Here is a 24,544-nt window from a genome sequence, read left to right as displayed (position 1 = left end):
AGGTCAGCTTTATACCAACACTGGCTCTTACTCTCTGGCACATGGATGAGCTGGAAAGTGACAAAGAGCATATGCTTATCACTCCGCCACCGCACACAAAAGCTGGAAAAGTCCCCTTAGCCTGTGACATCTTAGATTATAATTCTGATATTTTTCCTGGGAGATTATAACGAGTGCTTTGGGGTTGAATGTTGATTTTTGATAGTGAGATCTTCAAAAGTTGCAAGGGGGATGGCTAAACCAACTCTGGTACATCCATACCATGGACTACTACTCCAGGAATAAAGAACAGTCTGCTGCTACACAAGGTGTATTAGTCTGTTCTTGCACTGCTCTAAAGAAATAACCGAGATGGGGTAATTTATAAGGAAAAGAGGTTTAATTGGCTCACGGCTCTGCAGGCTGCACAGGAATCGTGGCTGAGGAGGCCTCAGGAAACTTATAATCATGGCGGAAGACAAAGAGGTGGCAGGCTCTTCTTAAACGGCCGGAGGAAGAGAGAGAAGGGGAGGTGCTTCACACTTTAAAACAACCAGATCTCGTGAGAACTCAGTCACTATCACGAGAACAGCTAGGGGGAAATCCACCCCCATGATCCAGTCACCTCCCACCGGGCCCCTCCTCCAACACGGGATTACAATTCGTCATGAGGTTTGGATGAGGACACAGACCCAAACCATGTCATATGGTAGCATATATGAATCTCAAAACACATTTAGGCTGAGTGAAAGAAGTCTTACCTAAAAGCATACATGTAGGCCAGGCATGGTGGCTCACACGTGTAATCCCAGCACTTTTGGAGGCCGAGGGGGGTGGATCAACTAGGGTCGGGAGTTTGAGACCAGCCTGGCCAACATGGTGAAACCCCGTCTCTACTAAAAATATAAAAATTAGTTGGGTGTAGTGGCGGGCACCTGTAATCACATCTATTCGGGAGGCTGAGGCAGGAGAATCGCTTGAACCTGGGAGGTGGAAGTTGCAGTGAGCTGAGATCGGGCCACTGCACTTCAGCCTGGGTGAGGTAGTGAGACTCCACCTCAAAAAAAAAAAAAAAAAGCACACATGTGATATAATTCTGTTCATATACTAGAACAGGAAAAACGAATCTGTGGTGAAAAATCATCACAAAAGTGTCCTCTGGGGCTTGGCGGAGGGTCGGGAGATAGGAAGTGTTTGAAGGTGACATGCACTCAGATCTATAATTTACTTTGAATTGCAACAAGTACAACTATAAAATTGGATTAATGGACAGATACACAATAAGGCAAATATAGTGAAAAGTTAATTGTCAAATCTAACTGCTGGTTATTCAAGCGCTTATTGTCCAGTTCTTTTAACTTTCCTACAGGTTTGGAAATTTTACACGATATTTAAAATATATAATTTAAGAAAAAGGCCCAGTGCGGCGGCTCAGGCATGTAATTCCAGCACTTTGGGAGGCTGAGGCGGGCAAATCACTTGAGGTCAGAAGTTCGAGACCAGCCTGGTCAACGTGGTAAAACGCCATTTCTACTTAAAATACAAAACATAAGCCGGGCGTGTCGGTGCACGACTGTAGTCCCAGCTACTTGGGAGACTGAGGTAGGAGAATTGCTTGAACCCAGGAGATGGAGGTTGCAGTGAGCCAAGATCCCACCACTGCACTCCAGCCAGGGCAACACAGTGAGACTCTATCTAAAAAAAAAAAAAATTCAGCAAAAACTCTATTAATGTTTTAAAAAGCATAAGGAGAAATCTGATTTAGTGTTTTTGGTGATGCAATATTCTTGAGGGCATTGAATATCCTTAGAGAAATTGTTTGCCAAAGGTAAATGAGAATTTATTATGTTGCTTTTTCTCAAAATGCTGGATAAAAGAGCCACTAAAAATTATATACGCATAAGAATTTCTGAATTTGCAATATGTCACACAAATTTTTATCAAATTAAATGTATAATTAAAAACTACTTAGTATCATGTTTTTGACTACACACCATTTCATTTTCATTTTTTCTCTTTTGTTAATCTCCATGAACCATCTTTTTTGAATGGTAGGTTGTAAAATACAAAAAGAAATAATAAGTGGGTGACAGAATCCAATTAAGAAGGATATACTATTTTAATGAATATTTTAACATATTTAACTGATAAGAAGTATTTTTAAAAACCTTAACTTTGAGGTGCAAATATTACCCCTACTTTTCACGTCTTGAGAATTATTGGAATTCAGAAGACTAAATTTTAGATGACCTTGACAAATTAGATCGTTGTATTTTTGCAAAAGGGCAAAATTCAGTAGAAACATGTTTGGAAGCTTACTTTTCAGGACTAAACCAATAATAGAAGTGTGGACTGAGGAAGGACTATTTCTAATGACTCACTACCATCAACATTTCTTGCTGAATATTCACTGACTCTTGTCTTATGACTGGATCTGGCTTGGATACAGATTTTTAAGTAATACGGAGAAATAAGTTGAGGTTTAAAGAGAAACAAGATGACTAAAACCATGAAAAACTGGTCCTATGAGGAAAACCTGAGAGAAGAGAAAATTCTGTAAACTCTGCAAGACTGAAAAAGGCTAAAGCTTTGCTTGATTTCCATTTTCAAGTACGTGAAGTATTTTCACAAGGAGATTCTATGAAAACCTAACAAGGAAAATAGATTTACATTAAAACATAGTTTCGTTGTGCAAATGCAGAAATCTCTTTGACTTTAAGGTTGATTAAACCCTGGAACAATTATCAAGAGACTTTAAGGCATCTACATCATTGGAGAATTAAAGAAATGAAATATGAATTCTAAGTGGTTCTACATGCACTTGCCAGAGGTTGGGGGTTAACTCAGATGATCCTTGAAAGCACTTCCTAGGTCTACATTCCAATAATAATGTTTCACTCCATGGTAATCATTTTGAAACGTAGCTTGGTATTAATTTATGCTTTGCTGGGCTTTCTACAAGGAATGGCAACTTTAAATTCACCCCACTTAAAAATTCACTGTATATTTCTTTTTTTCATTGGACTTGTCTGATAATAAATGATTATGTATTGTTTTAGTGACTGTGATACTGTTCTTAACTTAGTTTCTGTATTTTATTATTATAATAATAATAATAATTTTTTTTTTTTTTGAAACGGAGTCTCGCTCTGTCGCCCAGGCTGGAGTGCAGTGGCGCTACTGCGGCTCACTGCAAGCTCCTCTTTCTGGGTTCACACCATTGTCCTGCTTCAGCCTCCCAACTAGCTGGGACTACAGGTGCCTGCCACCGTGCCCGGCTAACTTTTTGTATTTTTAGTAGAAATGGGGTTTCACCGTGTTAGCCAGGATGGTCTCGATCTCCTGACCTCGTGATCCGCCCGCCTCGGCCTCCCAAAGTGCTGGGATTACAGGCGTGAGCCACCGCGCCCAGCCTGTATTTTATAATTATTATAAAATCATTACAATGAATCCTCTCATTTTTTGTCTTTAGTGTTATAACAGTATCATCAGAAGAAAGTTCGTATTTTTAAAAATGTTATATTCATGAGCATTTTCTATTGGTGAGTAGGTCCCTACCTAAGTGTGTTTAACTGCTTTGCCATTTATCTTGCCAAGTCACCATGCTACAATCCAGGGCCAGTTAGAAGTCTAGTGAGATTTAAAAAAAAAAACCAGGTGCAGTGGCTCACGCCTGTAATCCCAGCACTTTGGGAGGCTGAGGGTGCAGATCACTTGAGGCCAGGAGTTCAAGATCAGCCTGGCCAACATGGTTGGACCCTGTCCTTACTAAAAATACAAAAATTAGCCGGACATGGTAGCAGGTGCCTTTAGTCCCATCTACTCAGGAGGCTGAGGCAGGAGAATTGCTTGAACCCGGGAAGTGGAATTTGCAGTGAGCTGAAATTGTGCCGCTGCACTCCAACCTGGGGGACAGAGCAAGACTGTAGCAAAAAAAAAAAAAAAAAAAAAAAATATATATATATATATATATATATATATATATATATATATATATATCCCAGCACCATTTATTAAGTAGGGAATCCTTTCCCCTTTGCTTGTTTTTGTCAGGTTTGTCAAAGATCAGATGGTTGTAGATGTGTGGTGTTATTTCTGAGGCCTCTGTTCTGTTCCATTGGTCTATCTCTCTGTTTTGGTACCAGTACCACGCTGTTTTGGTTACTGTAGCCTTGTAGTATAGTGTGAAGTCAGGCAGGATGATGCCTCCAGCTTTGTTCTCTTTGCTTAGGACTGTCTTGGCTATATGGGCTCTTTTCTGGTTCCATATGAAATTTAAAGTAGTTTTTTCTAATTCTGTGAAGAATGTCAATGGTATTTTGATGGGAATAGCATTGACTCTATAAATTATTTTGGGCAGTATGGCTGTTTTCACAATATTGATTCTTTCTATCCATGAGGATAGAATGTTTTTCCATTTGTTTGTGTCCTCTCTTATTTCCTTGAGCAATGATTTGTAGTTCTCCTTGAAGAGGTCCTTCACATTCCTTGTAAGCTATATTCCTAGGTATTTTATTCTTTGTGGCAATTGTGAATGGGAGTTCAGTCATGATTTGGCTCTCTGCTTGTCTGTTGTTGATGTATAGAAATGCTTGTAATTTTTGCACATTGATTTTAAACTAAAGAGCTTCTGCACAGCAAAAGAAGCTAGCATCGGAGTGAACAGGCAACCTACAGAATGGGATTTTTGCAATCTACCCATCTGACAAAGGTCTGATATCCAGGATTACAAGGAACTGAAGCAAATTTACAAGAGAAAAAGAACCCCACCAAAAAGTGGACAAAGGATATGAACAGACACTTCTCAAAAGAAGACATTTTATGCAGCCAACAAACATGAAAAAAAGCTCATCATCACTGATCATTAGAGAAATGCAATTCAAAACCACAGTGAAATACCATCTCAGGCCCATCAGAATGGCAATTATTAAAAAGTCAAGAAATAGCACATTGGGAGGCTGAGGCAGGCAGATCACTTGAGGTCAGGAGTTCGAGACCAGCCTGGCCAACATGGTGAAACCCTGTCTCTACTAAAAAAATTAACCAGGCATAGGTGGTGCACACTTGTAATCCCAGCTACTCAGGAGGCTGAGGCAGGAGAATCACCTGAACCCAGGAGGCAGAGGTTGCAGTGACCCAAGATCATGCTACTGTACTCCAGTGTGGGAGATTGAGTGAGACTCTGTCTCAAAAAATAAAAAAACAAAGTCAAGAAATAGATGCTGGTGAGGCTGTGGAGAAATAGGAATGCTTTTACACTGTTGGTGGGAGTGTAAATTAGTTCAACCATTGTGGAAGACAGTATGATTATTCCTCAAGGATCTAGAACCAGAAATACCATTTGACCCAGCAATCCCATTACTGGGTATATAGGCAAAAAAATATAAATCATTTTACTATAAAGGCACATGTACACGTATGTTTATTGCAGCACTGTTTACAATAGCAAAGACATGGAACCAACCCAAATGCCCATCAATGATAGATTGGATAAAGAAAATATGGTAAATATACACCATGGAATGCTACGCAGCCATAAAAAGGAATGAGATCATGTCCTTTGCAGGGACATGGATGAAGCTGGAAGACATCATCTTCATCAAACTGACACAGGAACAGAAAACCAAACACACCACATGTTCTTACTTATAAGTGGGAGTTGAACAATGAGAACACATAGACACAGAGAGGGGAACATCTCACACTGGTGCCTGTTGGAGGCAAGGGGAGGGAGAGCATTGGGACAAATACCTAATGCATGTGGGGCTTAAAACCTAGATGACGGGTTAATAGGTGCAGGAAACGACCATGGCACACATGTACCTATGTAACAAACCTGCATGTCTGCATATGTATCCCAGAATTTAAAGTAAAATTAAAAAAGAAATCAAAATAAGATTAAACAAAAGACAAAAGAAGAATGAAAAAAAAGAGAGTCAGTCCCAGTCCTCAAGGGATATGAAACCTGGAGGACAAAAATCAAAGTCATCTTTGTGAATAATTATCTTCTTTTTGAAAGTCAGTTTGGCAAAATCCTCTTCGGCATTGTCCATCGTGGTCTGCATTTTCGGTTTCTTAATCTTATACTTTGGCTTCCTTTTCATCCTTTTCCTTTGCAGAGCCAAACTTGCTTCCTGCTGTGATGCTGTTCAAAACTTTGTTGTTTCTCAGAATAACACTCCAGTTGGGACTAATATGAGTTACGAGGTGGAAAGCAAAAAAGAAATCCCAATTAAGAAGAACATTTTTCATATGTTTCCAGTGGTGAGTAAAGGTTTCTGGTGGGTTATTTGTGTTACCATTCCAGGTGAATTTTCTTTTACTTTAAGCTGTAACTTACAATTATGATGGACTCAATTAAAATACCATATTGTTATGTTGTATAAAATTTGGACAGTGAGCCATTTTTTAAAAGGGCCATTTTGAATGCAGTGTGGCTCTGTAGGGAAGGATTATTTATATCTTAAATGATAAGCTCTTCCAGTCCTGTCTTCCAGACTCTTCTTCGAATGAGATGAGACACTCGGGCTTCCTGCTTAGTAATTACTGAGGCTTGTGAAGACGGCCATTTTTCATCTCAAATAAGATTCTTCCAATTGTCAGTTATGGTGACTAAATCAATTCCTTCCCAAGGAACGGTGCGTTTATGTGGCTCATCTTTGGGAAGTAAATATGTAAGAATTTATAGTCAATAAACGTACCCACCATAAGATAGAGATTGTTGTCTGCTGTGTTCACAGATATATCCCAAACCCCTAGAACATTTCCCAGTACATATATGCACTCACTACCAATTTGTAAAATTAGAAAAATGAGTAATGATATGATATAAAACCACTTCACACAGTTAGGAGAAACTCGACCCTTAATGCAAACCCACACTTGGGGAAGTTTTGGTTCTGAGGAACATAAACATCTCATTGCTTATAAACATACACTCTCCAGCGTCTTTCTATGATTCCATTAAAAAACAATTAGGCCATATCAAGATGGTCAAAATAGGATCCCTCTATATGTGCAGTATACTAACTGTAGGATATGAGATTCTTACAGTTTTCTTTTATTGGAGCTTTGACCTCTTTCAGCTAATTTTTGTTGCTCATGTAAATTGTTCCAATTTTTTTTATATTAGGATTTAGAGGAAGAATAACTAGCTGAGAATGAATGAGAAATAAATAGAAAATGATAGAGAAAAAATACTGTAAATTTTCTGGAAGAAAAAGGGACAAAAATATAAAGCTTTCTCATGACGCCCTGAAATGACCAGTGATTGAAAAGATGATAAGGAAAGAGTATTTATCTTTCCTATCAGGGAAAGCCTTGGAAAGTTTGACAGTGAGCCCTTTCACTCATTCATCCATGCAGGTTTTGCCAGTGTCTGCCATGTTTTCAACTGACCAGAACAGAGGAGCAGCAACTGCTTTACCCTCATTTGGCACTTTGAAAGGATTAACTTAATATAGGCCTGATAATTATGTATGTAACTGGGAACTGCATCTGCTTTCCAAATTTATACTGATTTTCTTTTTTAAACTGGGGAGAGGAAATTCTGCAGTCAATACAGCAGCAATTGCAGAGCCAGGTCCCTATTTTTGTGTTGCTCCAGCCTTCTCCTTTCATAGACGGGGCTCGTGGTGGAAATGTCCTCTTTCCCACGTTGCTTTACTCTGCCCTTCTGCATGAAACTCTCCAGGACGAACTGCTGGGCACACAAGAAGACGGCATTAAACGTTTTAATGAAATGATATGGAGCCACTTCCTCCACAAACTTGGCTAAGTTACTTGCAGAGAAAAAAATAAAAGTTGATTTTCAACCAGAGTGGGCAATGAGCAGGCAGTGGAGCGTGCACATTTGCATTTTCTCAGGAGGTTTATTTAAGGAAACGTTGAGATTTGTAATTTATTTAAATTCATACTGAACATGAGATACTAAAGCATATAGATGTTTTCCTCCCAGTTGACCAAGAAACCAGAGAAAAACATTCCTTATTGTGAGTGCATAATTTGAGATATGTTTCCTTCAGTAATCTTTTCTATTTTATACCATAATGAGCCTATTTGCATTTTTGCATCCTACCCTATCTATAAACTTCAGAATTTATGGTGGCACCATTTAGTAGATACTGGCTGAAGACATCTTGAGCTAGAAGTTCAGTGACATGAAATAGCCTGAGGTATCTAGGAACCATTCATTTAAGAGCCAGTCACTCTGCTAGCCATTGCAGATATAACCAGGAATAAGATACATAATTATACATAATTAAGTTATCATTTTAATCCATGGAATTGTAAGAAACGATAATGTGTAGTGGTTTAGAGCAGGTACTCTGGAGCAAACCGCCTGGGTTCCTATCCCAGTTCTGCCACTTTCTAGCTGTTACTTGGACTCATGCCTCCATTTTCGCATCTGTAAAATACTCAAAAGGTTGCTGTGTAGGTTAAATGTGCTAATAAAGTATGTACTTGAAATAGTGCCTCTTGCATAAAAAGTGCAATATGACTTTTACATTTCAAAGGCAAACCTACAAAGAGAGTTGTACTGAAACCGAGTTTCTTTGCTAGTTGGGCAGCTCCCAGAGCCAGCATTAGGGGCAGACAGCAGTCACAATGATTCTGGGGCATCTTCTGTCACTCCGGACTGCTCAGAACCACATCGGCCCTGGGCTGTTGTCAGTTGGGCTGGTAAACTGACTTTGACAAGGGCGATGTGCCTTGATTTTGCAACCTTTGCCAAATTCAGTGGTGTCAATACCCCCACCCTGGACAATTTTTAGTTACCAATGCTTTAAAAAACCAGCTCACAAAATTCCTGAATATTTACCAGTGGCCCCTTCAATGGTTACAGGCCAGGGTCAGGTTCGTTCTGCGCACGTGCAGTAAATTAATTCCCGTGATACCGGTTTTGCAAAAGAAATAAGATTTATTCACAGAGCCACCTAGTGAGAAGGTGGGAGAGCTTGTTGAAAGCCCATGAGATGGGTATTGAAAGCTGTGCACATTGCACTACACAAGATCAGGAGGGAAAAATGAGGGGAAATTAAAGGAAATTAAAAATAATAAACAGCCTCTCTGCTCTTGAGGACTTACACCTTAATCCTACAGACAAAATCGGTAGATCAGGACCTCATCACTGGGAAGCACGAGCCGGCACCCTGGCCGTGGGCTCAAGGTCACATTATTACTTCATGGAAAGTGACCAGGAGAGGGAAGGAAAGCGCACCATTGAATTGAAAAGTTAGATTTCAGTCTGCAGAGAACTTGGGGAAAATAGGAAACCTTCTGGGGTAAGCAGGCCAGGTCCTAAAAGGAATAAGAAAGATTCAGGTCTTGGAAATTAATTTGAAATATGTCAGTCCAGTTGGTAGGCCTCCCTGAAGCACGCTGGCTGGTCATTCGCAGAGACGGCAGGCATAAATCTAATGCCTTACTGAGCCTGAAGGTCTAACTATTTAAGAAGCACAGGAAATTTTTGCTAAATCACCTATTAATTTTATGCCTTAGAATAGATTTAATGCTGCTTCCTAATTTCTTTATTTTCTCTTTCTTGCTGAAAATGTCCTTGTTTATCAGAAAGGCAGAATATGGGGTTTTGCCATTCTAATTTTTTTCCTTAATTATGTGATGAAAAATACATGATACTGTATTTTGTATTATTACATTATGCCGTGTATCCTATGATGTCTATTTCTCTCAAGAGAAATGAAACTTAGGTTCACATAATGATTTATTTTATTTTATTTTACTTACACATTTTTTAAAATTTAAGAAACAGAGTCTTGCTCTGTCGCCCAGGCTGGAGGGCAGTGGTGCAATCATGGCTCACTGCAGCCTGGAACTACTAGGTTCAAGTGATTCCCCTACCTCAGCCTCCCAAGCAGCAAAGACTACTGGCGCTCTTCACCAAACTCAGCCAATTTTTCTACTTTTTGTAGAGACAGAGTCTTGCTTTGTTGCCCAGGCCCATCTTAAACTCTTGGCCTCAAGTGACTCTCTCATTTTGGCAGCCTCCCAAAGTGCTGGGATTACAGATGTGAGCCACTGCACCTGGCTGGTTTTTTGTTGTTGTTGTTGTTTTGTTTTGTTTTGGAGACGGAGTCTCATTCTGTTGCCCAGGCTGGAGTGCAGTGGTGCCATCTTGGCTCACTGCAACTTCCACTTCCTGGATTCAAGCAATTCTCCGCCTCAGCCTCTCGAGTAGCTCGGATTACAGGCACCCACCACCACGCCCAGCTAATTTTTTTGTATTTTTCGCAGAGACGGGGTTTCACCATCTTGGCCAGGCTGGTGTTGAACTCCTGACCTTGTGATCCACCCTCCTTGGCCTCCCAAAGTGCTGGGATTACAGGTGTGAGCCACTGCGCCCAGCCCCAGCTGGTTCTTTATGCTAAGTCATAGTAAGTTGATTAGCAAACTGGGCTGCTGCTTTTTCTTGTTCGTATTCTTCTCCTTAGCATGTATAAAGAGTTAAGTTACTAGAATTAAGCTGTTGTCTATGGTTCTAAAATTAACGGTATTTCATGGTAGTTTTCCACTTTCTCCTGCTAGTCCCAGCCTTTTGTGGACTACCCTTATAATCAGTGTGCAGTGGTCGGAAATGGGGGAATTCTGAATAAGTCTCTCTGTGGAACTGAAATAGATAAATCCGACTTCGTTTTTAGGTAAGACCTGACAAATTGGTTTCTTTGAAACAATAGATCAGTTGGGTATTTCAGAGGGGGATAGTGTAAAGATATCCATTGTATATTTTCACCTTTGAGCTCTGTTACAAAAGTCTACAAATTACCCGGGAAGGTTTCCTGAAGTGTTATGTGGCTCATGAGTTCCTCAGAATGTCAATACCAGAAGAAACAAAATGTGCTATGTTTATATATGTTTAGGAAACTCTGGGTGAAATTGTGGTGAAAGAGGGTTTGGTAGTGCAGGACCTTTCAGAGCGTTCAGTACGTTAATGGCTACCTTGGGAGGACTCCAGAGGGCAGCATGTCTCAGGCTCACCTGACCTTGAAGATCTTTTTTTATTTGTTTGTTTGTTTTTGTTTTTGTTTAACAGCGCATTTCAAGGATGTTTTGTTCTTAGACAATACTTGGGAAAATGCTGATCAAGACATTTTTCAGCCCTGCAAACTGTATCATTATTTCGTTTTCTGGCTTGCAATTTAAAAAACAAATTTGTACAGCTTCTAAGTTCTGGTCTTTTAAAATGTTTTCTATCTGAATATCAGCTAGCATGCAAAAATAGAAACAAAATGGTTTTTCTGTGTGCCTTGTACTAATAAGCCATACCAAAGCATCTCCACTGTCTCAGTGTAATGGAAAGGTAATTTATCCTTCTGAGGATGGGTTTCAATTGAAATGCACCTTTTCAAAGAGTAAGTGGAAGTCTGGTTCTTCCTGTTTTAGGAGCACTGATTTCATACATCAGAGGAGATGCTTTGATCCCTCTTGATTTAATGCTGCCCTTTTAAGCAATTGAAAAAGAAACAGGGTTTCTAGTAAACAGCTCCCTCCCAATTTCAATCTCATTTTTAAATTTTGTGCTGCAGGTAATGATGAAGCCACAATAGACCCGACAGTGCAACAATTATTGAATGTGTTCTTCATGATTACTGTTAAAATGGCCAATATCTGAATGGTTTACACATTTTGTTCAAGTATCCAGTGTGAAAAAGCCATAAGGAAGATAATTCTTCTTGCAGTAGACTTTTTATAGGCTTAAAATTCCCAAAACATCTGTAATGAGGATCAGGCCTAAACATTCATTATACTTTATAGCAAGTATAGGCAATACAATAAGTTTTGATTTAAAACCCAGAAGAAAAATATCTCAGCAGATATTTCACTTATAATTCTAAAATAACTGTCTATGTTTCTAGATTCCACACTTGCTGATGAGAGGTATTTTCCCGAATATAGAATTTCCTTTAAAACTAGCCATTTGAACTGAAAGGCAAAATGAGGGCTAGACGTGTTTGGTGTCATTAAAATATACTTAATTTTTTAAGCCTGTACTTATTTTGGTGCTTCAGGTTGACAGTTCAGAAAACAAACTTTTATTTTTCATTTCAAAAGATTTGGAGCTATGAATAAAGTGTGTGAGGAACAAAAATAGGCAATGACTATATATACTACTGCTATATATGACTATACCAGTTTATATATACACATATATGTATTACAGTAGTAGTAATATATAATCACATATATATTACAGTAGTAGTAAAATATATAATCACATATATATTACAGTAGTAGTAATATATATAATCACATATATACTGTCGTATACTGTAATACATATAATCCAGTAGTATTTATATATTACATATTATATATACATATTATACATATGTATGATAAATATATAATACTGTGTTATAGATAGTATGTAATATATTGTACATTGTATAGTATATAATATAGTATATTGTATACTATATAATATACTATATAATACAGTATTATATGTAATTATATACGTATAATATGTATACATTACATATGTACATATTATATAACAATATGCATACATTTTATAAATCTATAATAGCATATATACATATATTCTGTATAAAATTATATAACAGTATTATATGTAATTATATATGTATAATATGTATACATATATACATATAATAAATACAATTATATAACAGTATTATGTGTTATATATTTATAATATGTATACATATTATATATTACATATTATATACACATTATGTGTTATATATGTATAATATGTATGCATATTATATATTACATATTATATATACATGTTATATATAATATACATATATTACATATATGCATATTATATAATATACTAATATTACATATAATATATAATCTATAATATGTATGCATGTACATATATAATACATGCATACATACCATGCATGCATGGTATGGTACATACCATGACCTATACTACTGTTTGTGTGTGTGTGTGTGTGTGTGTGTGTGTGTATACTCTATATTCAGGAAAATACCTGGCATCAGCAAAAGTAGAATCTAGAAACACAGGCATTTTAGACTCATGAATTAAATATATTCTGAGATATTTTTCTTTTAAGTTTTAAGCCAAAACTTATTGTATTTCCTCTATAAAATACCCTTCCCTATGGAGTCTCCTATGATATTCTACTAGAAATCACTTTTGATTATTCAGAAGAATATGAGACTGTTCTGGAAAGGACATATGTTGTGGGAGGCCCACTACTGAGATCACCTTTATGGCCTAGTACCTATGATTAATCTTTATCATTGAATATGTATTATTGATATTTGATTCATATTTATTTTACCAAGGTGCCGTATTTATTTTATTTTCTGACATAGCTTTTATATCAATGAGGGAAGTTCATGTTTCATTCATTCATGTGTTTTATAGGACATGGTACAGCTTATTTCATCTTCTGTCATGTTATAGACCACATCAACTTTGAACAACCTTCCTTAGGAAGCACTCAAAGATGCTCCCTTCTTATGTTTAGCCTTACTACTTGAAATTCAGTAAATGATATTTAGAAAGTCATAGCCAATTTTTCCTTTTTTGTGACAAGAATATAATTACTCAAAATTAGAATTCTTAATTTGTTTTCCAATTTAAAAGCAAATTAGTACTCAAAGGAAGATGAGAACATCAGTTTGAAAACATCACTATAAGAACATTAGGATTTTATTTATTAAAACCATAATTTGGTGGCAAAACTATCCACATGGGAATTGGGAGGTTTTGATTTGTTTAATTTAGTCTTTGCTTCTGGCAGACTGTATAACTTTAGTCACAGTACATCAAGTTTTTAAGAATATGCCAATTGGTGATCATACCACTATGGGAACATAATCAATAGAAATAATATAAATAACAATTTTAATAAAAGGATTGGGAACTCTTCTAAACTTAGACAAGGTGTAATTGTCATTTCTGGCTTTGATACTTATAAAAGTTATTATCCATATTGAAAGCATTTATCAAATTTGTAATTTTCGCCGGGCACAGTGGCTCACACCTGTAATCCCAGCACTTTGGGAGGCCAAGGCAGGTGGATCACTTGAGGTCATGGGTTCAAGACAAGCCTGGCCAACATGGTGATACCCTATCACTACTAAAAATACAAATTCGCTTGGTGCATGCCTTTAGTCCCAGCTACTCAGGGGGCTGAGGCAGAAGAATTGCTTGAATCCGAGAGGCGGAGGTTGCAGTGAGCCCAGAGCACCACTACACTCCAGCCTAGGCAACAGAGCGAGACTCTGCCTTAAAAAAAAAAAAAAAAAAAAAAGGTGTATATTTTATACAACATTGAAATGTCAACTAAGAACTGAGTAATTATTAAAGTAAATAATTTAAAATAGAAACCAAATGGATTCTGAGGGTCTCAATAGCAATGATTTCTCCAACATAAGAACAATTATTATAGATAGGTGTGTGTGTGTGTGTGTGTGCGCGCATATGTGTGTATACAATCTTTTTTCTACAAGTTCTATTTTGAAAATGATTTTCTTTTCAAATTTCAGGTGTAACCTACCCCCAACCACAGGAGATGTTAGTAAAGATGTTGGCAGTAAAACAAATCTTGTGACTATAAATCCAAGCATCATAACTCTGAAGTAAGTAGCTGCAAGTTACATAACTGATCAGGAACACTTTTTCATTGTTCAACATGTTTCTCAGCTTAAGCACTAATCTTGTTGCTGAGACTGACTTGCAGTACAGGTGGAATGAGTTTTTGGAAAAATATATAAGAATTCATTTGCAAATTGTGGCATTCTATCAAGGTCGTTTTTCCTAAGAGTTATGATTCAGTTGTACTTCCAATGTCATAAGCTAATCAAATGAGAACATATTTATTTCTTTATCTCTTTTAACAATAATGAAGCCACTTTTTTCCATTTTCTTTTAGAGTGTTAGCATTACTCTTTTTTCTTGGTAGCACTTTCTTGATAAAACTTACTCTATTTAGAAACTTCAGAGAGTAAGGGCTAAGACAACCTGGCAAAATACAGTTATCAAGTTAGAGTTTATTACTAAACAATAATTACCATCTTTCATTTCTGCAACATAACTACCATACAATTGTTGGCTAATAAGTAATCTTATACAAAGTTTTTACTCCATTGTTTTCGTCAAAAGTGACTGATAAGCATTAGTAATAGAATATGTTCGTGCTAATAGTTATAGCATCCCTTGAAAGAAAATAAAATAAATATTGAACTTGCCTTTCAAAGTATATTTTCTAAACACTCACGATTATACTTACCAGGATACTAAGTTATTTAAATCATACACATAGATACTACAATGCATGGAGGAAATTTTTAAAAATAACCTATACGTATATCTATATTTGCATTTAGATATTTTAAATCTTCTTTCCCTCTTTCCTTCCTTCCTCCCTCCTTCTTTTCTTTCTCTCTTTTTCCTTTCTTTTTCTCTTTCTTTTTCTTTCTTTCTTTTCTTTCTCTTTCTTTCCTTTCTGTCTCTCTTTCTCTCCTTCTTTCTTCCGTCTTTCTCTCTTTCTTCCCTCTTTCTCCCTTCCTTCCTTCCTTCCTCTCTCTCTCTCTCTCTCTCTCTCTCTCTGTCTCTCTTTGTCACCCAGGTTAGAGTGCAGCAGTGCAATCACAGGTCACTGCAGCCTCAAACTCCTGGGCTCAAGGGATCCTCTCACCTCAGCCTCACAAGTAGCTGGGACTACAGGCATGCACCACCGTTCCCAGCTAATATTTTTATTTTTTATAGAGATGTGGGGCGGGGTCTCACTGTGTTACCCAGGCTGTTCTCGAACTCCTGGCCTCAAGTGATCTTCTCGCCTCAGCCTCCCAAAGTGCTGACAAGCATGAGCCTCTGTGCCCAGTCTATTTTCAGTTTTCTAAAGGAAACTTATAATGAAATATGTGCAAAAGATGTACAAATCATAAGTGCGCAGCTCAATGAATTTTTTAAAATGTATTGATATGCATACTATGCTTGAAAAAATATTTTATCATTATACATTTGGAAGGTGTTTCAATAACAAAAAACAACTTTAGGAAAAATTAACGAATAAGAATAGAAAATAATACAAGAAATGTCTGTTCATTAAGGCTATAGCCCAGTAAGAAAGTAGAAATTGAAAGGATTCCAAGAAAGAGAGATGAAGATCTAGCTGTTGATATTGACATTATGCTTACTTGAATGAGTTTTCTCTGAGTCCACACTTTATCTGTTTTATATACAGTATACAAATCGTTCAGTGTTTTGACCAATGGTAAATTCAGCTTTATGTTATCAAAACTGCTACTTTGATTATTATTCTTGGGATTACTATAATTTTTTTTTAATTTGGCAGATATGGGAACTTAAAGGAAAAAAAAGCCCTATTTCTGGAGGACATTGCAACCTATGGAGATGCATTTTTTCTTCTGCCAGCATTTTCCTTCAGGGCCAACACGGGTACCTCTTTCAAAGTATACTACACGCTCGAAGAGTCTAAAGCAAGACAAAAGGTTCTATTTTTCCATCCCAAGTACCTGAAAGATCTGGCCCTTTTCTGGAGAACTAAAGGTGTGACTGCATACCGCTTGTCCACCGGCTTGATGATCACAAGTGTTGCAGTGGAACTGTGTAAAAATGTGAAGCTGTATGGATTCTGGCCCTTCTCTAAAACTGTAGAAGACATACCTGTCAGCCATCACTATTATGACAACAAGCTACCTAAACATGGTTTCCATCAGATGCCCAAAGAATACAGCCAGATCCTCCAACTTCACATGAAAGGAATCCTCAAACTGCAATTTAGCAAATGTGAAGTCGCCTAAACAAAGTATCTTAAAATGGGAATAATTTTAATATAATGCAGTAGGTGATTAACAATGTCTCCAAACACCAAAGGAGGTGGCTAAAGAGTATTTTGAGATGAGCCCCAAAATTTGGTTTGACCAAAGCTTCCCCACTCATTTTGCAATGATGGCAAGTCATTCAATCCTTCTCATCTTCATTTTTTCTCCTTATAACATGGACACCATATCTGACTCATACAAATTTTTATAATTTATGAAAATTATTGGCATGGCCTTTGGTGTGAGGTAGGGACTCAAAGAATATTTCTTTCTTACTATTTATACCAGCCATCTCCACCTTCACCAGACCGATAATAAAAGCATGCTTTCTTGGAGATCTCTTCTAAAGAGAATAGCTGCATTACCAGTATCCATTGGATTTCTTTCTGTGGCAGGTCTCTATCAATAATATCCTTCCCATTTTTCTGTCTCAAAGACTGCATGCAAGAAAATTATATACTTAAGCAAAAAGTTCTTGATCATTCGGGAATGAAATTCTTCTCTGAGTATGGCAGTATGCCTGCTTCTGATTAAATTCACTTTTAATAGTAGCTGTGATGATATTTTGGTTGAATTTAAGCCATTTATTTTCCTCTTATGTCTACATTTCTTCATCACTTAATAATTTTATTTTAACTTCCTGCCTCATTCTTACACTTTTTTCTCTCTCACTTATACGATATACTTCAAGGACGTGAACAGTTACAATACCCAGTCTTTCTTACCTGTTGTCTTGCCTGTGGGGTCACTCACTCAATTTTATTTTAAAATTACTGAATAACTACTTCATGCCAGGCCCTGCACCAGGCTCTGTGAGAGGACAAGAAGGATTATTGCCTCTTGTAGGAGAAAACAGATGTGCATATCATTAATTATGATGGGGTATGATAAGTATTACAATGACAAAAGCTATGAATAAAGTGCTACAAGGAACAGAAGCAGGGATAATTAAATCCATTTCAGTGGAATCTATTTCAATGTACAATAGTCTCCCCTAATCTGCAGATATGGGAAGACCCCCTGTGGATGCCTGAAACCATTGATGATATTAGAAATATGTAATTGATTAGTAAAAGTAACAAAATATACTGAAATAATTAAATATACAATGTGGGGACTTTATATGCTATTTTAATAAAACTTACATATAGTTAGGACATTTAGAGCTTACTTTTTTTTCCCATATAATATCCTATCTTAAAAATTTTTCTTTAGAACATCAAAACAGAATCTCTAGTATCACTGATATGGATTTCAGAAATATTCCAAATGGTGTGAGATCAAACAGCATAGTGATACCCATGTTCCAGTAAAAGCTTAGGAGAAAAAGAATGTTTGCGGGTTTTCTTTTGTGGAGAAAATTGTAGACATTTCCAAGTTAACACATCTGAAGTTTCTGGTTCGACATCTGTGTTGCCATCCTAAAAGCACGTGTGAAATTTTACAACAATCCTACCTAGATTCACGTTAGCCAAAAATCTTTGGCTAAACAGACACCCCGAGATTTCATAAAGTGTGTTATAGTCAGAATTGGTGGTAATTAATCTACAAATCTGCAAAATAGTGTTCATAGTTTTTCTTTTTATTTTGATCTTGGTGAAAAACTTGCAGTAACTCACCATTACAGAGCGACAAGAACTGTGACGCATGTTTTATGATTTACATAGCTGATGTGGTGTATTATCGATATCCATAATCTGTCATATTTAGACACATTCATTGTGACACATATAACATGTGCATTCTTTTTATCTTTTTCTCAAGTGGGTCTATAGTTGTGATTTCACAGCAGATTGGGGTTGTTGGCCATTGTTTGAAGCTCTCCTACTCTCTTTCTAGCATAGTCAGTGTGTTGCAGAGAACTAAAGGGAGTAAAAGACACAGTGCCTCATTGAATCCTAACATTTTCTTCCTGGTAGGGCATATATCCCACCTTCCATATATCCTGCTGTGAGGTGCCAATAATGTTCTTTTGTTCCAAAACAGAACATTACTTAGAACTTTCTAAAATATGATAGAACATGAATGTTTACAATACAGCATGTCAGCTATGTAAACTGTAAAACGTAAGTCACAGTTCTTTTTGTTCTGTATTGGTGAATCATTGCAAATTTTTCACCAAGTGCAAAACAAAAAGAAAAACTATAAACTCCATCTTGTAGATTTGTAGATTCGCCACAACCAAGTCTGACTGTGACACTCCCAAGAAATCTGTATGTAATCAGCATTGCTTAAATATTGTTAGATCTAATGTGATCTTCTGCTCTTAAAACTCAAGTACATCTAAGGGCATTGAGAATGGAAAGTCTGAGTTCTGGTACTAGACAAGAGCAGCCCTTTAGGCCAGGCGCAATGGCTCACACCTGTAATCCCAGCACTTTGGGAGGCCAAGGTGGGTGGGTCACTTGAGGCCAGGAGTTTGAGACTAGCCTGGGCAACATAGTGAGTACCCTTCTCTACAAAAAACAAAAAAATTAGCTGAGCATAGTGGCGTGCACCTGTGGTCCCAGCTACTTGGGAGGCTAAGGAGGGAGGTTCACTGGAGCCCAGGAGGTAGAGGCTGCAGTGAGCTGTGATCTTACCACTGCATTCTAGCCTGTGTGACAGAGTGAGACCCTGTCTCAAAAAAGAAAAAAAAAAAGTAGCCCTTTAGTTAGGATTCTAGCTCATAACGCTGCATACTACCAGTTTCTAAGAGAAATACTAGCTTGCTGGATTCTATTTTCCACTTGTTGTTCAGCCTCATTGAGCAATGAAACAGAATAACAAGATTCCAATATAATTTTCAGCCAAATCCAAAGGCAAGGCAGAAATATTCATTTAAGTATATAGTCCATAGTACTCTGTGGTCCCTGCAAAGGGCTTCATGATCAATTGCATAGTGTTAATTTTTGCGCAGTGTAATAATCCTCGAACATCCTTGAAGTCTCTGGTGCTTTTCCCTTGGAACAAAAGGCAATGACAAATAGATCATGGCTTTCACTAAAGGATATTTCCTTCTTCATGTAAGTCCTAACCCAGTAACTGCGTGGGCTCTCAGCCAGGTAATCAGTCAAAAAGTCTTTTTTTGAGGACTCTCTGTAGAATACAGAATTAAGCAGCAAATCAGACCTGTGTTTGCCTAAATTTTTCCTTGCTTATAAAAAATTTACCAGCTAAGTATTATGTAATGTCAAGTACCGTAAATCACTCCATGAATTAGGAAGCTTTGGGAAAAGTGGAAAATTTTGTGGAAAACAGGTCCACTAACATCCTAAACAGCTACTGCAGAAGTATAGTTAAGATGTGATATATAATATATTGTGATCTTCAAGACATTTTATTTATCTAACATGACATGGAAACACATTATTATGCCATTAAAAATTGAAGGCATTGTAGGAATTCATCTGATATATCTGATGCACTTGATCTGATAAATCCACTTGAGGCTGCTAGGAGTGTTGAAGATTTCCTATTTACATGTGGCTTCAGAAGGCTGATCCCATAGCGAGGAACAGTGTCACCAGTACCCTCCTGAGAGTGGAAAGGCAAGAATATTTCTCATGGTCTTTCTTATTTTGGGTCATCACTCTTCCAGAAGCATTCTTCTTTTTATAAAAAAAATGTGGGTGATATATGATAAAGATGCGCTACTTATGTAATGGAGACAGGGCAAACTCTTTAGCAGATAATATTGAAACATTGGCTCACTCTATGGAGAAAAATAAATGCCTACATTGCACCATATAAAAAGTTGGGCTCCAGAGGGATGAAAACGATGGATTAAAAAGAAAACTTTAAAGCTCATAGAAGAAAATGTAGGAGAATTATGTTTGAGATACAGGTGAGGAACTGTACTTCTTCAACATGACCCAAAAATATCTTTTTAAATAGTTGGGTTAAGAAAGGATGGCTATGACTGTATTAAAATGAAAGAGTTCTAGTCAGTGAATGACACCTTAAAGTTAATAGGCTGGGGACAGACTGAAATAGCTTTTAGTAATGCATAAAATTAATGACATTAATAGAGAGACATTCCAAGGAATTGTAAATCAACAAGTAAAAGACAGGAAACTCAATATAAAAATGAACAAAAGATAAGAATGTGATTTACAAAGGGGAAAGCTGAGTAGCTAATAAGAATAGGAAGTGATACTCAAATTTACCAGTAACCTGAGAAATGCAAATGAAAGTGAGATACTACATCCATTGCATTGGTAAAAATGAGTAAGGTCATTAACTTCAAGTGTGGAAGTATAAGCTGATTGAATCATTTTGGAAAGCAACCTAGGAGTACTGAGTTAGTAAAATTCATCATATGTCTGTCCTATAGTCCAGTAATTGCACTTTTGCATATACAGCCAAGAGGACCTGTTCTGATCCACACAAAAAAACAAGTATTAAGGTATTTATTCCATTATGGTTTGCGGTAGTAAGTAGACAAATTGGACTCACAGATATCTGTCTCTTCGGAAGTCAGTGAACTAACTTGACTGGATCCATAGTGTGGAATATGATACAGCAGTTAGAAGCAACTTACTGGACATATATACAGAAATAAGGGTATGTCCTTTAAATTTAGCATAAAGGGAAAACAAAAGCTTTAGCACAATGCCATTTAATTACTTTAAAGCGTATGCATGCATACATACAAACATATTCAAGGCTACGTGTCAAATACAAGAAGGGTACCCATTAAGAAGAGGGTAATCGGAGTGGGTTTAGGGATAAAGAAGAAAAATATACATGTTATTATATTTAATACAGCAAGCCTTTGACATATATATTCTTATACTCACATATGATATTCTTACTACTACATAAATAAATATAGAAGCTGACTCAAAATTGTAAGTAACTTATATAAGGTTGCATTATATATAAGAGCAGAGCTAGTATTCAACTCATATGTCTGACTCTAAAGCCAATATTATTTCCATTATGCAATTATAAAATGAAAAGAAAAATCAGTATTATCCCATGTCATTGACATGTAATAAATGGCACATATTTATGTACATGCATATACCCATGAAACCGTCTCTCCAATTAAGACAATGTATATATTCATTACCCCAAAATGTTTTCTTGTGCTACTTTGTAATCCCTCCCTCTTCTTCCTCCCTGTCCATCCCACCCTCGTCCCCAGAAAATTCCTAATCTGTTTTTCTATAGACATTTACATTTTTACACTATAGACTGTTTACATTTTTTAGAATTTTATATAAATGGAATCTTACTGTCTGTACTCATTTCTTGTCTTGCACTTTTGCTCGACATAATAATATTAAAACTCATTCATGTTGATTGTGTATCTGTAGTTTATGCCTTTATTTACTGAGTAGAATTATGTTATATGGATGGACCACAGTTGGCTTATCTGCTCATTTGTTGATGAACATTTTACTATCTCCTGGTTTTGGCTATTACAAATAAAGGTATCATGAACATTAATGTGCAAGTCTTCTTGTGAACATATTTTTATTTCCTTGGGGCAAATATCTAGGATTGGAATGACTAGGTCACATGGTCCATGTATGTCTAACACTTTTAGAAAACTACCATGCTGTTTTACAAAGTGGTTATAACATTTCATGTTCCTATCAGTAGCCTATGCCAGTTGCTGTTGCCTGACATCTTTGACAAAATTTGGTTTGAGTAGTATTTAATTTTCGACAGTCTATTGGGTACACAGTTTTATCTCTGTATCTCATTGTGATTTTGATTTTCATTTCCCTTATTATTTTTTCATGTGTTTATTTGACTTCCTTATATCTTCTTTGATGAAGTGTCTGCTGAAATATTTTGGCGGTTTTTAATTGGGTTGTCTTCTTATAAGTGACTTATAAAGGATATTTATATATTCTAGATACAAGTCTTTTATTAGAATGTATTTTGCAACTACTTTCTCAGCCTTTTCATTTTGTTAACAGTGTTTCTCAATAGCAGAAGTTTTTAATTTTACTAAAGTCTAGTTTATTAATTTTAAAAATTTTATAGTTTGTGTTTTTGGTGTCAAATTTAAGAAATCTTTGCCAAACCCAAGGTAACAGATTTTCTCCTATGTTTTCTTTTAGAAGACTTATAGTTTGTTATATTTAAGCCTATGAGCCATTTTGAGTTAATTATTTTACATATGTGTTCACAGTGTAAGGTAAAGTTTAAATCATATTTTTGCATGTATCTGATCAGTTGTTCCAGTAGAATTTGTTGAAGAGACTTTGTTGTACTGCTTTGCACCTATATTGAAAATCAATTGATTTATATTTGGGCTTATTTATTTGTAGACTCTATACTGTTTCATTGATTTGTCTGTTGTTATGCCAATATCATACCATTTTTATTACGGTAGCTTTATAAGTCTTGAGATAAAACTCCAATCTTAATTCTTTCTCAAAGCTGGTATTGGTTTTGTTTGTGTTTATGTTTTACTTTTTGCTATTCTGGAAGAATTTGCATAAGTTCAGCATTTTCTTCTTTACATTTGGAAAAATTCACCAGACAAACCATCTGACCTACAATTTTCCTTGAGGGAAGATTTTTAATATTGAACAATTTCTTTAATAGATGCAGGATCATTCAGACGGTTTATTTCTTCTTGAGTGAGATGTGGTAGTTTGTGTTCTTCAGGAAATTTATCTTCTTCATCAGAGTTGTAGAATTTATCGTAATAAAGTTGTTCATAATATTCCTTTATCTGTTAATATTGTGGAGTCTGCAATGATCCCCCTGTCTGATTTCTCACATTGGTAATTTGTGTCTTCTCTCTTTTGCCCCTGGTCTGTCCAGTGTGAGATTTATCTATTTTATTGATTGTCTCGAGAACCTGCTGTTTGGTCTCTGATTTCTTCTCTGGTCCTTATTATTTCTTTTCTTTAGTTGTATTTGCTTTTCCTTTTATAGTTTCCTAAAGTCATCGATTTGAGATACCTTTTTTTAAACTTGAGAATTTAGTGCTGTATTTTCCTCTAAAAACCGTTAGCTGTTTCCCACAAATTTGTATATGTCATGTTTTCATTTTCATTCCTTTCTAAATACTTTCTAACTGCCTTTTGAAATCTTCTTTGGACCAAGGGTTATTTAGAAGTATATTATTTAGTTTCTAAATATTTCTGATTTTTTTATATGTGTTACTGTAGATCATTTTAAATTAATTTCACTGTAGTCAGTAAATATGCTTAGTAGGATTTAAATCCATTTAAATTTATTGAGACTTTGTTACAGCCCAGAATACAGCCTTTCTTGGTAAATATCTTGTGTGCATTTCAAAAGAATGTGTGCTCAGTTGTAGTTAGGTGGAGTGTTCTACTAATGTCAATTAGATCAGATTGATGCTGTTAGTCAAGTCTTATCTTTCCTAATTTTCTGTACACTTCTATCAATTATAGAGAGAAGAGTGCTACATCTTTGACAATAATCGTGGCTCTATTTCTTCTTGCAGTTCTAGCGATTTTTGCTTCATGCATTTTGAAATTCTGTTTAGTATATGCATGAATATTTAGGATTGTTATGTTTTCTTGATCAATGATCCATTGTTATAAAATAATCCTCTTTATCCCTGCTAATATTTTTTCTCTAAAATCTAATTTGTCTGATATTATTATAGCCACTCCAGCTTTTTATGTTACTGTTAGCGTATCTTTTTATCGTAGTTTTACTTTTAAGTTGATTCTTTATATCAAAAGTGTTTTTAATTAACTGAATATAGTTGAGTTTTGCTTTTTGATATAACCTGGAAATCTGCCTTTTATTTGGTGCTTTGTAATTA

The 24,544-nt window shown here is 36.2% G+C and overlaps 1 protein-coding gene across 7 annotated transcripts in view; it reads left to right on the top strand.

The window, feature by feature from the left end:
• ST8SIA6 (ST8 alpha-N-acetyl-neuraminide alpha-2,8-sialyltransferase 6) overlaps positions 1 to 22,230 on the top strand; it is a 139,175-nt gene extending 116,945 nt beyond the window's left edge. For 5 of the 7 annotated variants that reach the window (XM_017016174.2, NM_001004470.3, NM_001345961.2 and 2 more), the window contains 4 exons: positions 6,099 to 6,243; positions 10,525 to 10,637; positions 14,494 to 14,586; positions 16,305 to 22,230. In XM_017016174.2, coding sequence (XP_016871663.1) covers positions 6,099 to 6,243; positions 10,525 to 10,637; positions 14,494 to 14,586; positions 16,305 to 16,773 — 820 coding nt within the window. In that variant the 3' untranslated portion in view covers positions 16,774 to 22,230. Of the gene's footprint in view, positions 1 to 620; positions 689 to 6,098; positions 6,244 to 10,524; positions 10,638 to 14,493; positions 14,587 to 16,304 lie in introns of those variants that run through there. The other 2 variants (XM_047425154.1, NR_144322.2) reach the window with 2 other exon arrangements.

Source organism: Homo sapiens, chromosome 10 (assembly GCF_000001405.40).
Source record: "Homo sapiens chromosome 10, GRCh38.p14 Primary Assembly".
Lineage (NCBI taxonomy): Eukaryota > Metazoa > Chordata > Mammalia > Primates > Hominidae > Homo > Homo sapiens.
Note: the sequence above shows the minus strand (reverse complement) of the source record. Positions and strands in the feature narration are given on the sequence as shown.